This window comes from Homo sapiens, chromosome X (genome assembly GCF_000001405.40).
Source record: "Homo sapiens chromosome X, GRCh38.p14 Primary Assembly".
NCBI classification, from domain to species: Eukaryota; Metazoa; Chordata; class Mammalia; order Primates; family Hominidae; genus Homo; species Homo sapiens.
Window position 1 is genome coordinate 74884506 of NC_000023.11, and position 15800 is coordinate 74900305.

At 37.5% G+C, this 15800-nt stretch overlaps 1 protein-coding gene across 1 annotated transcript in view, besides 1 other annotated feature; it reads right to left on the reverse strand.

Moving 5' to 3' along the window:
* NEXMIF (neurite extension and migration factor) overlaps positions 1 to 15800 on the reverse strand; it is a 192597-nt gene that overhangs the window by 151650 nt on the left and 25147 nt on the right. The gene's annotated exons all lie outside the window — the stretch shown is intronic.
* Positions 6190 to 6319: a silencer, noted in NCBI's record as "silent region_20906". NCBI's record gives its function as "represses an Ori minimal core promoter by ATAC-STARR-seq in GM12878 lymphoblastoid cells {active_cell/tissue: GM12878}" and the evidence as "EXISTENCE:reporter gene assay evidence [ECO:0000049][PMID:35858748]".

Consider the following 15800-nt stretch of genomic DNA (forward strand, 5'->3'; position numbering starts at 1 on the left):
ATAAAACAAACTTTAAACCAACAAAGATCAAAAGAGACAAAGCAGGCCATTATATAATGGTAAAGGAATCAATTCAACAAGAAGAACTAACTATCCTAAATATATATGCGCACAATACAGGAGCACCCAGATTCATAAAGCAAGTCCTTAGTGGCCTACAAAGTGACTTAGACTCCCACACAATAATAATGGGAGATTTTAACACCCCACTGTCAACATTAGACAAATCAATGTGACAGAGAGTTAACAAGGATATCCAGGAATTGAACTCAGCTCTGCACCAAGCGGGCCTAATAGACATCTACAGAATTCCCCACCCCAAATCAACAGAATATACATTCTTTTCAGCACCACACCACACCTATTCCAAAACTGACCACATTCTTGGAAGTAAAGCAGTCCTCAGCAAATGTAAAAGAACAGAAATTATAACAAACTGTCTCTCAGACCACAGTGCAATCAAACTAGAACTCAGGATTAAGAAACTCACTCAAAACCACTCAACTACATGGAAACTGAACAACCTGCTCCTGAATGACTACTGGGTACATAATGAAATGAAGGCAGAAATAAAGATGTTCTTTGAAACCAACGAGAACAAAGACACAACATACCAGAATCTCTGGGACACATTCAAAGCAGTGTGTAGAGGGAAATTTATAGCACTAAATGCCCACAAGAGAAAGCAGGAAAGATCTGAAATTGACACTCTAGCATCACAATTAAAAGAACTAGAGAAGCAACAGCAAAAAAATTCAAAAGCTAGCAGAAAGCAAGAAATAACTAAGATCAGAGCAGAACTGAAGGAAATAGAGACACAAAAAACCCTTCAAAAAATCAGTGAACCCTGGAGCTGGTTTTTTGAAAAGATCAACAAAATTGATAGACCGCTAGCAAGAATAATAAAGAAGAAAAGGGAGAAGAATCAAATAGACGCAATAAAAAATGACAAAGGGGATATCACCACTGATCCCACAGAAATACAAACTACCATCAGAGAATACTATAAACACCTCTACGCAAATAAACTAGAAAATCTAGAAGAAATGGATAAATTCCTCGACACATACACCCTCCCAAGACTAAACCAGGAAGAAGTTGAATCTCTGAATAGACCAATAACAGGATCTGAAATTGTGGCAATAATTAATAGCTTACCAACCAAAAAAAGTCCAGGGACCAGACGGATTCACAGCTGAATTCTACCAGAGGTACAAGGAGGAGCTGGTACCATTCATTCTGAAACTATTCCAATCAATAGAAAAAGAGGGAATCCTCCCTAACTCATTTTATGAGGCCAGCATCATCCTGATACCAAAGCCGGGCAGAGACACAACAAAAAAAGAGAATTTTAGACCAATATCCTTGATGAACATTGATGCAAAAATCCTCAATGAAATACTGGAAAACCAAATCCAGCAACACATCAAAAAGCTTACCCACCATGATCAAGTGTGCTTCATCCCTGGGATGCAAGGCTGGTTCAACATATGCAAATCAATAAACATAATCCAGCATATAAACAGAACCAATGACAAAAACCACATGGTTATCTCAATAGATGCAGAAAAGGCCTTTGACAAAATTCAACAGCCTTTCATGCTAAAAACTCTCAATAAATTAGGTATTGATGGGACGTATCTCAAGATAATAAGAGCTATCTATGACAAACCCACAGCCAATATCATACTGAATGGACAAAAACTGGAAGCATTCCCTTTGAAAACTGGCACAAGACAGGGATGCCCTCTCTCACCACTCCTATTCAACATAGTGTTGGAAGTTCTGGCTAGGGCAATGAGGCAGGAGAAGGAAATAAAGGGTATTCAATTAGGAAAAGAGGAAGTCAAATTGTCCCTGTTTGCAGATGACATGATTGCATATCTGGAAAACCCCATCGTCTCAGCCCAAAATCTCCTCAAGCTGATAAGCTACTTCAGCAAAGTCTCAGGATAGAAAATCAATGTACAAAAATCACAAGCATTCTTATACACCAAAAACAGACAAACAGAGAGCCAAATCATGAGTGAAATCCCATTCACAATTGCTTCAAAGAAAATGAAATACCTAGGAATCCAACTTACAAGGGATGTGAAGGACCTCTTCAAGGAGAACTACAAACCACTGCTCAAGGAAATAAAAGAGGATACAAACAAATGGAAGAACATTCCATGCTCATGGGTAGGAAGAATCAATATCATGACAATGGCCATACTGCCCAAGGTAATTTACAGATTCAATGCCATCCCCATCAAGCTACCAATGACTTTCTTCACAGAATTGGAAAAAACTACTTTAAAGTTCATATGGAACCAAAAAAGAGCCCACATCACCAAGTCAATCCTAAGCCAAAAGAACAAAGCTGGAGGCATCACGCTACCTGACTTCAAACTATACTACAAGGCTACAGTAACCAAAACAGCATGGTACTGGTACCAAAACAGAGATATAGACCAATGGAACAGAACAGAGCCCTCAGAAATAATGCCGCGTATGTACAACTATCTGATCTTTGACAAAGCTGACAAAAACAAGCAATGGGGAAAGGATTCCCTATTTAATAAATGGTGCTGGAAAAACTGGCTAGCCAGATGTAGAAAGCTGAAACTGGATCCCTTCCTTACACCTTATACAAAAATTAATTCAAGATGGATTAAAGACTTACAGGTTAGACCTAAAACCATAAAAACCCTAGAAGAAAACCTAGGCATTACCATTCAGGACATAGGCATGGGCAAGGACTTCATGTCGAAAACACCAAAAGCAATGGCAGCAAAAGCCAAAATTGACAAATGGGATCTAATTAAACTAAAGAGCTTCTGCACAGCAAAAGAAACCACCATCAGAGTGAACAGGCAACCTACAGAATGGGAGAAAATTTTTGCAACCTACTCATCTGACAAAGGGCTAATATCCAGAATCTACAATGAACTCAAATTTACAAGAAAAAAACAAACAACCCCATCAAAAAGTGGGCGAAGGATATTAACAGACACTTCTCAAAAGAAGACATTTATTCAGCCAAAAAACACATGAAGAAATGCTCATCATCACTGGCCATCAGAGAAATGCAAATCAAAACCACAATGAGATACCATCTCACACCAGTTAGAATGGCAATCATTAAAAAGTCAGGAAACAACAGGTGCTGGAGAGGATGTGGAGAAATAGGAACACTTTTACACTGTTGGTGGGACTGTAAACTAGTTCAACCATTGTGGAAGTCGGTGTGGTGATTCCTCAGGGATCTAGAACTAGAAACACCATTGACCCAGCCATCCCATTACTGGGTATATACCCAAAGGATTATAAATCATGCTGCTATAAAGACACATGCACACATATGTTTATTGCGGCACTATTCACAATAGCAAAGACTTGGAACCAACCCAAATGTCCAACAATGGTAGACTGGATTAAGAAAATGTGGCACATATACACCATGGAATACTATGCAGCTATAAAAAAGGATGAGTTCATGTCCTTTGTAGGGACATGGATGAAACCATCATTCTCAGCAAACTATCACAAGGACAAAAAACCAAACACGGCATGTTCTCACTCATAGGTGGGAACTGAAGAATGAGAACACATGGACACAGGAAGGGGAACATCACACACCTGGGACTGTTGTGGGGTGGGGGCAGGGGGGAAGGATAGCAGTAGGAGATATACCTAATGCTAAATGAGGATTTAATGGGTGCAGCACACAAACATGGCACATGTATACATATGTAACAAACCTTCACGTTGTGCACATGTACCCTAAAACTTAAAGTATAATAATAATAATAAACAAACAAACAAAAAAAAAAAGAAAATGTGGCACATATACACCATGGAATGCTATGCAGCTATAAAAAAGGATGAGTTCATGTCCCTTGCAGGGACATGGATGAAGCTGGAAAACATCATTCTCAGAAAACTAACACAGGAACAGAAAACCAAACACTGCATGTTCTCACTCATAAGTGGGAGTTGAACAATGAGAAAACATGGACACAGGGAGGGGAACATCACACACCGGGGCATGTTGAGGGGTGAGGGGCTAGGGGAGGGATAGCATTAGGAGAAATACCTAATGTAGATGACGAGTTGATGGGTGCAGCAAACCATCATGGCACGTGTATACCTATGTAACAAACCTGCACCCTCTGCACATGTATCCCAGAATCTAAAGTACAATAAAAAAACTAAAGAAAACAAACAAACAAAAAGAATGATGTCAAACATTTTCAAGTTTTAGCGAACACATATTATTCACATAAACAAATGGATGCAGACATACACTTTTACTCACCTAGACGAATAGTTCATTGTTCCCAAAATTTATATACCAAAAAGAAAATTCCTATATATACTCAGTTTTCAAAAAGTAGCAGGAAAAAAATTTGGCCATGGAACTGATGGTGGAAGAAGTGTAGTGAAACAAATTCATCTAGAAACTTTATTGGTTCTTCCCTTAGTTAGCTATATGGCCTTGAGCTAGAATGGGGTAATAATCCATGCCCTGCTTATATAGTGAGGTGTGGAGAGGATCACTCAAGACAATGGATGTGAAAATACCTTGAAAATTATAAAGCACTATAAAATTATAAAGTGCTTATTATTTCCGTTAATGCCCAGATCTGCAAAATTGAGAGGCAGAAATAAGCTGTGAGGGACAGGATGCAATATTTAATTTCCAAGGCCAAAGTAGAATGGTAGAAACAAAAGGAATGGGATGGGGAAGCAATGTATTGTGCTTTGAAAGTGAAAACCACAGTGAGATGAATGAACACCAAGTACCGATATTAGGTACTAAAGGTTTTCTTTTGTCGCAGCATAGATGTGGCAAGACCAAATGGGGATGGAAAGGCAAATTATAATGAAAATATTGTTTGATTTAAAGGCCTCAAGTCCTCTAAATTTCAGTAATAGTGTTTCGCAAACCTTAGAAAACTTTTTATTTATTTACTTATTTATTTTAATCCTTGTTAAAATCAGATTGAGAAATGTAACACTCAAAGGATTTCAGAATCAGAATGGACCATAAAGAAAGTATGAGTCACTAAGGTGGTTTCTAAGTGGTTCATGGTTGCATGGTGTACAAATACAACTCAAAATAGTAAATCCATCTTCCCAGAGCACTGATAAAATTCTTCCTGAGGTGGCATATCTAGTTATGGGCTCCAAAAAAACCATTAAAAAGAGAGCTAATAAGGACTGTGAAAGTGATAAAAATTCATTAAAGGAATGAGTTAAAAGATCTACACTGGTAGGTCTGTTGTGCACTGAGATATACACTGTGTACATCTCAGAGATAGCTTAATAATAACAGAAAGAGCAATAAGAATGGTTTGGTGAATAGCCATAATCAAAGACACACTGCTCTTCAGTCTGCTTTAGTTTTCTTCTTTTTGTCTGATGTTTCAAGGTTCTTCCTAACCTAATCCTAACCTAATCTGTCTCTCTCTCTCTCTCTCTCTCTCTCTCATTCTCTCTCATTCTCTTTCTCTCTCTCCCTCTCTCTCTCTCTCTCTCTGCCCCTCTTTCTCTCTACCAAATCGGTACTTAGTTTCTTCCTTCTCCCTGTAGCTCAATACAACACACATTCCAGTTCTTGTCCCATGAGCCTCTATCCCCATTTTGGTTGCATTTCCAGTGACTCTGATCCTGTTCTAGGACTTTGATCCTAGACCTACATGTTTCTCTCAACCAACTACAGGAGAGATATGCATTCAATGTAACAAAGATGTTCCTAATAGAGAAAGTATGAGTCATACTTTATAGACAGTATTAAAACTGAATACCTATATACCTTTATTAATTAGGTACAACTTTATTTTGAGGAAAAATCATGAACTAGAAGAGAATGAGGGCCAGAAAAGGCCAAGAAAACCCAATAGCTCTATTTTAAGGCACTTGGAAATTGACAACTGGTCTGAAAGAATATTAAGGAACCCAGGCACAGGCACTCTAAAGAGTCCTAGACAAAAATAAAAAAACTTAAAAAGAGAAACTCCAATATTAAATAATGCAGGTGTGCCCTAAAATGCGCTATGAATTATGTACATATCATCAAACATATTCTTAAATCCTAAGTAGACATTTTAATATTTTTGCAAAAATACTCAACAGAACCCGCAGCCACATGGGACAAATACACCCTCCATGGCTACGCTTGGGCATTTCCAAACTTGGAAACTTAATCTTCAACTCTTTCAGGCCATATGTCAGAGGGACAATGCCTAAATACTGAATGGCCAAGTGTGAAAACACAAGAGATGGTGAGAACTGTGGCCACAGTCATCATTTGAAACTTTGACCCTGCTCACCAGACCAGGGAGTGGCACACGGGAGGAGATCAAGCAGAACAGTGACAAGGCTCCACACTGTCACTGCATCCTGCAGTAGACATGCTGCCACTGCTACAAAGTAAATAAGGGGAGAAAAAAATCCCTTTCTCAAAACAGACCTAGAGTGGGTGTGTGGCTTTGATCTGACAGTCTCATTTTACTTCAGTGCTTTTGGAGAGGATGGAGAGGAGAAAAGGGAGCGAGGAGGAGGTGAGAGAAAAAACAGAGCCATTTTTGTAATTAAATTTCAGAATCTTTTCATTATGCAGTTTCAATTCATTGAAAGTTTTTTTCCTTCCAGCCCCGCTCCTTCCTTAAAACTCTTGCTCCACTTACTACCCTCTCCTGTGTGAACACACACACATACATATGCACACATACAGTGTTGCCCTTGATAAGAATCAAAGCAGGCAGAGCAGCTCCGCCTCAGTACTGGCCTTTGTAACCAGGGATGTAAACAATATTCAGGAGGGTTTTTTTTTTTTTTTAGACTTCAGAACAGTTTAACAAAATGATGCAGTTCCACATTTACTAGAGAAAAGCCTAAAGGAAACTAAAATGCTTAAGAGGTACAAATATTGTGTTTCTGCTACAATCAATAAATAATGCCAAAGTGAAAGAATGGCAGTGCATGGCAACATACTGAATGATGTTGCTTCTGGTAATCTTCCAGTGAAAGGCGTTGTGAAGTTTTATGCTGCTAATCACATTAAATTGACCTCTGAGGGCCAGGACATAATGTCCTGTTATTATTGTTGTATTTGTTTGTTTTGCTATTTAATGGCTCCCATTTTTAAGTTTAACTTAAATTAGGGGGTGGTTCAGAAAAAACCAAGCAACTCAAGGTCTGACTTGATGAATCCATTTAGGAAAGAGTATGAGATTTGGACACAGATGCTTAGGCTTCTGGCCAAGGAGAAATTATTGCTGTGGAACATGAGACTAGAGAGGCCAGGGCTTCAGTTTTGAATTAATCAAGCTATGTTCTCTAAACATTTGATTCAGTCTCTTCTACTTCTCCGACATGGCTCCTTTCCCCTCACCCTTTCACAGCTCAACCTGGAGGGAAGTCATAAAGAATACAACAGAGAAATGTGGGGGATGTTCTCAAGCCGGGCTATTACAAAATATTTGCACAGGGTCAGCAACGCTGGCATTTACAAGGAGACATTTTAAGAAAAGTTTTACCAAGTCCTAAATATGTATTTTTTTTTCTCTCAGAAATTCTATGAAGCAAAATTCGTTGACTTGGCCACAGGCAATAAAGCCTAATTAGTTCTGTAAGGTTGTTTAATGTTTAAGCCTAACTATCATTGGACAGCCCTACAGACCCAAAGAAATATTCTCAATTCAAAGCCTCAATGCAGAGGGACAAAAGCTAAACACAAGATGGAAAGAAATCAATTTCTCTTTAACCTGGGCACCAGGGGAAAACAAAAACCTGACAAGGGAAAAGAGAAATTTGTTACAGGGCTTCCAAGACTTTACAGGGCTCTGGGGAACTAACCAAAGATCTTGCGTAGGTCTAATAAAACATCTAAATTTTTCTTTCTGGGTGCTCAGGTCACTTTACAGATATTATTTTCCTCATTCTCCCCACAGCCTGGTAAAGCAGGAGAGGCACGTATTTTTATACCCGTAAACCCTAATATAGTCTTAGAGGCTTTGCCCTCCTGTCAGTCTGAAAGGTTTCACTACTGAGTTATAGATACATATATACTTATTACTTAAACAGAGTTGAAATGCTGCCTCTAATTCAATTTCTTCATCAAAGCTCAGATCCACAGAACAATGATCAACTTTGCATTCATTTTCCAACATCAGCCACCTCATTTGAATGACACTATTTTAATGACAATAAATGTTGCATGGGCACCATGAAGTGAGAAACATCACCCTGCATTAATACGCCATCTGCCTGCCATCTCCCTAAGATCCCAAGGCATGTTTCAAAGTGAGCATAGGAGAATTTACCCTAATTAAAACCACAGGGGGAATGGAACGTCAGAGGCAGAATTTACTTTCTTTCTACGAATTAGAGTATTTTTGAGGCATCAGACTAGTCTGTCTACCAGACTTGCTGAGAAGGAAAGGATGGAGAGAGAGAGAATATGTATGTATAGAAAAAGAAATGGGCAAGGATGGGGAGCTAGACAGTAGTTTTTAAAAATAAGGATACTGACTTAGGTCTTAAGGAATTAAAGTACTAGAAAATAGACTGATTTCTGTCCCTATAATTTTGTTTCCTCCTACATGCCTACACCCTATGACTGCTCTTCCAGTAGAATCAGAAAATATATTTTAAAAAGCTTTGGAAGAAGTGACACCAAACAGTTAAAGGATGAAGAAACAAGAGTCTAAGTAATCCATAAAGCAGACTACTTCAGATAACAGAAAATTGAAGGTATCTTAAATTATCATTCAAGAAGCTAAGGTACAAGGAGGAAAATGACCTTGTTTTGTTTCCTTCTAGTTTACTGTCTATCTTTGCCACCTGCTTCTTAGTTCTCATGCTGCAGAGCAAATGGAGAGCTGAAAATCTAAAAGAGTTTTCTTGTTTTTCATCCTCACCTTTTTTAAAGACTCAAAGGGTTCCTCTGATGAGGGAGGTAAGTCCTGTACAGACTGTCTCATGCGTGGCCTTAAAGTCACAGCTAAACAAGCCATTTTATTTTGTGTGCAATGTAAAAATTGTTATATTTAATCTTGTTTCCTCAACAAACATAGGAGAGAAAGAAGAGATAAAAGAAGATGAGGTGATTAAGCACCCAAGATGGAGATGGAAAAACTCTATTTAGGCAAGTTGTAAGATTTTAAAAATATTCAGCACACATGTACACACAGTGCATGGATGATGTGGAAGGTTTTTCTGAAAGTCTAATATTGGAATCATAAGACGCTTTGCAGAAATTATAGCATCCTAAATTTATGCAAAGCTGCCCAACCACCAGGATCAGACAGGGCCATTTGGACCTGGAGTCATGACCTGGCTTTCCCATTAACTGAGATACCCCATCTAGGGAAGAGTATGTTAATTCAATTTACAATGAATAATCCTTTTGTGGGTGAGGGAGAATTAAAAAGTTCCAGTTTCCAAAACAGTTGACTTTTTGAAAAATTAAGCAAAATAGACAAACCATTAGCCAGACTAACTGAGATAAAAAGAGCCAGGCTATGGTGGCTCACGCTTGAAATCCCAGAACTTTGGGAGGCTAAGGCAGGCAGATCACTTGAGTCCAGGAGTTCAAGACCAGCCTGGGCCACAGAGTGAAAACCCTTCTCTACTAAAAGTACAAAAAAAAAAATATATCTGGGCATGGTGGCACGCACCTGTAGTCCCAGTTACTTAGGAGGCTGAGGGAGAGGATCACTTGAGCCTGGCAGGCGGAGGCTGCAGTGAGCCAATCACAGCACTGCACTCCAGCCTGGGTGGCAGAGCGAGATTCTGTCAAAAAATAAAATAAAATAAATTAAAAAGAGAGAAGAGCCAAAGAAATACAATCAGAACTGAAAAAGACGGCATTACAACTGATACTTCAGAAATCCAAAGGATCATTAGTAGCTACTATAAGCAACTATTATCAATCTTACTCAGACTATGCCAAAAAATAAAGGAGGAAGGAATACTTCCAAACTTATTCTATGAGGTCAGTAATACCCTGATACTGAAACCAGACAAAATCACATCAAAAAAAGAAAACTACAGGCCAATATCTCTGATAAATATTGATTCAGAAATCCTCAACAAAATACTAGCAAACCAAATTCAACAATACATTAGAAAGATCATTTATCATGACCAAGTGGGATTTATCCCTGGGATGCAAGGATGGTCCAACACTCACAAATCAATCAATGTGATACATCATATCAACAAAATAAAGGATAAAAACAATATGATCATATCAATCTATGCTGAAAAAGCATTTGATAAAATTCAACATTCCTTCATAATAAAAACCCTCAAAGAAGGAACATACCTCAACATAATAAAAGCCATCTATGACAGACACACAGCTAGTATCACACTGAATTGGGAGAAACAGAAAGCCTTTCCTCTAAGATCTGGAACACTACAAGGATGCCCACTGTCATCACTGTTATTCAACATAGTACTGGCAGCCCTAGCTAGAGCAATCAGACAAGAGAAAGATAGAAAGGGCATCCAAATTGGAAAGGAAGAAGTCAAATTATCCTTGTTTGCATATGATATCATCTTATATTTGGAAAAACCAATAGAAAACTGTTAGAAATAGTAAACAAATTCGGTGATGTTTCAGGAGACAAAATCAACATACAAAAAACAATAGCATTTCTATATGCCAACAGTGAACAATCTGAAAAAGAAATCAAAAAGTAGTCCCAATTACAACAGCCACAAATAAAGTTAAATACCTAGGAATTAACCAAATAAGTGAAAGTTCTCTACAATGAAAAATATAAAGCACTGATAAGAGAAATTGAAAAGGACACCAAAAAATGGAAAGATATTCCATGTTTGTGGGTTGGAAGAATCAATATTGTTAAAATGTGCATACTACTCAAACAATTTACAGATTCAATGCAATCTCTATCAAAATATCAATGACATTATTCACAGAAATAGAAAAAAATCCTAAAATGTATATGGAACAACAAAAGACTCAGAATAGCCAAAACCTTCCTAAGCAAAAAGAACAAAACTGGAGGAATCACATTACCTGACTTTAAATTATACTACAGAGGTATAGTAACTAAAAGAGCATGGTACTGGCATAAAAAACAGGTGCATAGACCAATGGAACAGAATAAAAAATCCAGAAACAATTCCACACACCTACAGTGAACTCATTTTCCACAAAGTTGCCAAGAACATCACATGCTCTTACTTATTTGTGGGATTTAAAAATCAAAACAATTGAAGTCATGAAGACAGAGAGTAGAAGGATAGTTACCAGAGGCTGGGAAGGGTAGGGGGTAGGGGTGTGAAGCGGGGGCGGTGGCTACTGTGTAAAAAAAAAAAAAAACATAGAATGAATGAATAAGGCCTAGAAATGAATTTGAATGAGAAAAAAGTTCAAGTTTCCAAAGGACTTAGTTTTTCTCCAGTAAAAGGAATCTTATCTGCTCAATTCATATTCCTCATTCAGTTCATCCCAGAACTTTTAGGTGGCAAAGAAACAAAGTACCTAGGTTCAAATAAGTAAAAGCCTGCCCCGTTTCCCCTTTTTCCATAGCAGATTCAACCACTTAGTCATGCTTCCTAGGTTCTTCTGTCAACTCTCCATCTCAGAGATCCAGAAAGTATTAATGCTAAAATTCAATATAAAGCAATAAGTCCTTCTCCTCAGCAACCACCACTCTCCAAGTAAGGATAGTGTCTGTTCCCACTTACTCCTCCCCATCCTTGTCACCAAAGTTGAAAAGCTCTCAGCCCCTTTGCTGCCTTCTTCCTTATCTAGATACCATACTTCCCCTTCCTCAACCCTGAAATTCAACATTTGCTAACTAAACTTCAGACCACTTTCTCCATCCCACTCTGGCCAGTAGGTAATGCCACAGATATCTGACTGTTTCTTTTCAACTGATGACTCCTTAAAGGCAGGAGGCTCTTTGGGTATGGAAACCATTCATCCCAGAAAGTTGTGACTTGAAATATTCTGTACATACTACAATTTCTGGTTTGCACGAACTGGTTTTAAGATTGAAGGAGTGGTCAGGTAGTAAGAGAGAAAAGTTTTCTAGCTCTTTCTTTTCTCTCCTGCTCAGTTTATAAAGGAATACATGAAAAGGCTCCCACTAATTCCTTACCCTGGGTGTGAATGAGCAGAGACAGCCCAGGAATAAAAACTGGTGCCATCTGCCAAATCTAGTGCAGTCTCTGCAACCTCCAAAATAGAAGAGCAGAGACTGGGCACTGGAGTGTGTATGTGTGACAGGATATTACTGTATAAATTATTTGGGGATTATACACTGTTTGGGATTAGCCACACCTCAGCACCTTTCCATTAGAATTTGATAAGTGCTGAAAAAGACACAAAGCTAGCTGCCTAATATCCGCAGCAAGCAAGGACAATTAGAAAATATTCATTTTTGTTCTGTTGACACTTCTGTTCCCAAAGCTAACCATATGCTTTCTAAGTTCTGGCTTGATCACCCAATTGATATCTACTAGCATACAAAAATGATTTTGATTTCTAGAAACATTTCTTAAGTGTTTGCATTTCAGACTTACCTTTCATATCTCATATTATATTGGGAGGCTAAGTTCGGCTCAAAAGAAAATGTATTGGCAATTCTGATTAATGGTTGAGGGTCTGACAAACAAAAATTAGCCTACACAGTTAAAGTTTAAACCTAATTTTAAGGTTACTGGAGTAAGAGTCAAGAGAACCCAGTCTGTCTAACTCATATGGTGACTTTGGATAAGGCACCTTCTCTGGGCTTTGGCTTTCTGGGCATACCACTAACTGCCCTACCTACCTCCCACATGGGTTAGGAGAGTCAAACTAATAGTTTCCTAAATAGCTTTGAAAAATAGTAAGCTCTGCACAAAATGGAAACATATTTCTCCTCTAATTTCTAAGGGTCTTAATTCTAATATGGGGATAATTTTTTTCATTCAGTGACACAGCCTGGGTACTATTTACTATCATACATAGTTTCTAGTAGAAGAACTACCTTTGATTTCTCTTAAATTTTATAATTGTTGTGGAGGGTAAGGAGAGTGAAAGGAGGTATTTCAGGTAACTGACAAAATGGAATGTTTCCAGAAGAAAGCTGCTAGATGAGTAAGGGGTCAATAAATCTGTCACATGAGGAATGTGTAAAGGAATGAGTGGGAAATGTTTAGTCTGGAGAACACTAGAGGGGGTAATGGTGGATGTTTTTATAAATCTGAAGGGCTGTCACATGCTGGAGAGCTTAAGTTTTTCATGGCAGAAGGCAAAACAAAAATCAATCTCAAAAGAAAAAACAAATTAAACCACATGGTGAAGGTATGTCAAAGGGACACAGGAGTCAACCAAAAAAAGCTCCCAATGGCCAAAGCTGAAACAATTTGAGAAACAAAATAAAGCAGTATTGGACTATAATCCAAAGTTTAAAATAAATATACATGATATACATGTGTACATACTTATATAAATAAATGATTGAACAAATAAATAAATGAGCAGGAACAGATACATCTCCAGTGCACAAGAATTCCAAATAATGTAGGTGGATACTCCATCCTCAAGGAGGTGACACATAACTCCCCAGTCTTAAAGTATGAACTGCCCAAAGTGATTATTTCCAGAGAGTACATTATGGAAATGAGAAAAATGTAACTTTACCCTGGAGAATCCTGATAAACACTACCTTAGCCAGATAATTACAGTCAACATCAACAGTGTTAAAGTCGTGTTGATAGCATGTATCCTTAATACAATGTAATGATAAGGGCACTTTATTCCTGTGGTCTTCTTCAAAACACATTACCCCAGTCTAATCATGAGAAAAACATCAGGTGAATCCCAATTAAGGGACATTCTACAGAATACCTCACCATGAATCCTCAAAGCTATCAAGGTCATCAAAAACAAGGAAAGCCTGAGAAACTGTCACAGTCAAGAGGAGCCTAAGGAGACGTGATAGCTAAATGTCATATGGTATCCTGGATGGGATTTCAGAACAGAAAAAGGACATTAGAAGAAAACTGAAGAAATATAAAGTATAGACTTTAGTTAATTATAATATATCAATATCAGTTCATTAATTGTGACAAACGTACCACACTCTTGGAATATGTTAATAATAGGAGAAGATGGTGTGGGGTATGTGGGAATTTTCTTTATTATCATTAAAATAATTCTGTAAATGTAAAACTGTTCTAAAATAAACTGTTCTATTTTTTAAAAATAGGAAAAATCCTAATGATTCCACAAAAGACTGTTATAACTAATAACAAATTCAGCAAAGTTGCAGGATACAAAATCAGCATCAAAAATTAGTTGCATTTCTATAAACTAACAAGAAACAATCAGAAAAGGAAATGAAGAAATCAATTCCATTTATAGTACCATCACAAACAATACTTAGGAATAAACTTAATCAAGGAGAAGAAAGACTTGTACACAGAAAAGTACAAAATGTTGATGAAAGAAATTAAAGAAGACACTAATAAATGGAAAGACATCCTGCGTTCATGGATTGGAAGACTTAATGTTAAGATGTAAATACCACCAGAGAGACCTTACAAATGTAATGCAATCCCTATCAAAAACCCAATGATGACAAGCCCACAGCTAACATCATACTCATCAATGAAAAGCTGAAATACTTTCCTCGACAATCAGGAACAAGACAAGGACGCCCACTCTCACTACTTCTTTTCAACATAGTACTGGAAGTTCTAGCCAGAAAAATTAGGCAAAAGAAAGAAATAAAAGGCATCAAATAGGAAAGAAAGAAGTTAAATTGTCTCTCTTTGCTGATGACATGATCTTATATATACAAAACCCTAAAGATCGTCCCCCAAAAAAAACTGTTAGAACTGATCAATGAATTCAGTGAAGCTGCAGGACACAAAATCAACATACAAAAACCAGTTGTATTCCTATACACTAATAATGGACTACCCAAGAAAGAAATTAAGAAAACAATTCTGTTTATGATAGCATCAAAAACAATAAAATAAGTTAAGAATAAATTTAACCAAGGAGGTGAAAGATCTGTACATGGAAAACTATAATACACTGATGAAACAAATGGAAGAAAACACAAATAAATAGGAAGATATCCCATGTTCATGGATTAGAATAATTAATGTTGTTAAAATGTCCATACTACCCAAAGTGATCTACAGATTTAATGCAATCCCTACCAAAATTCTGATGACATTTTTCACAGAAATAGAAAAATACAATCCTAAAACTCACATGGAACCACAAAAGACCCTGAATAGCCAGAGTAATCTTGGGGGGAAAGAACAAAGCACAGGCAGCCAAAGAAAAAATAGATAAATTGGAGTATATAAAAGTCTAAGACTTCTGTGCATTGAACAACATTATTGTGAAATAACATTGTAAAAGGGCAATGTAGAAAATGAAAGAAAATACTTGCAAATCATATATCTGGTAAAGTATTAATATCTAGAATATATAAAGAGCTCCTATAACTCAATAACAAAAAACCTAACACCCTAAGTTTTAAAATGAGCAAAGGAGTCAAATAGACATTTCTCCAAAGAAGATATATGAATGGCAAATAAGCACAAGAGCAGATACTCAACATCTCTAGTTATTAGGGAAATGTACATCAAAACCACAATAAGATATCACCTTACACCCATTAGGATGGCTACTATTGAAAAAACAGGGCCAGGCGCGGTGGCTCACGCCTGTAATCCCAGCACTTTGGGAGGGTGAGGCAGGCGGATCACGAGGTCAGGAGATCAAGACCAGCCTGGACAACATGGTGAAAATCCCGTCTCTACTAAAA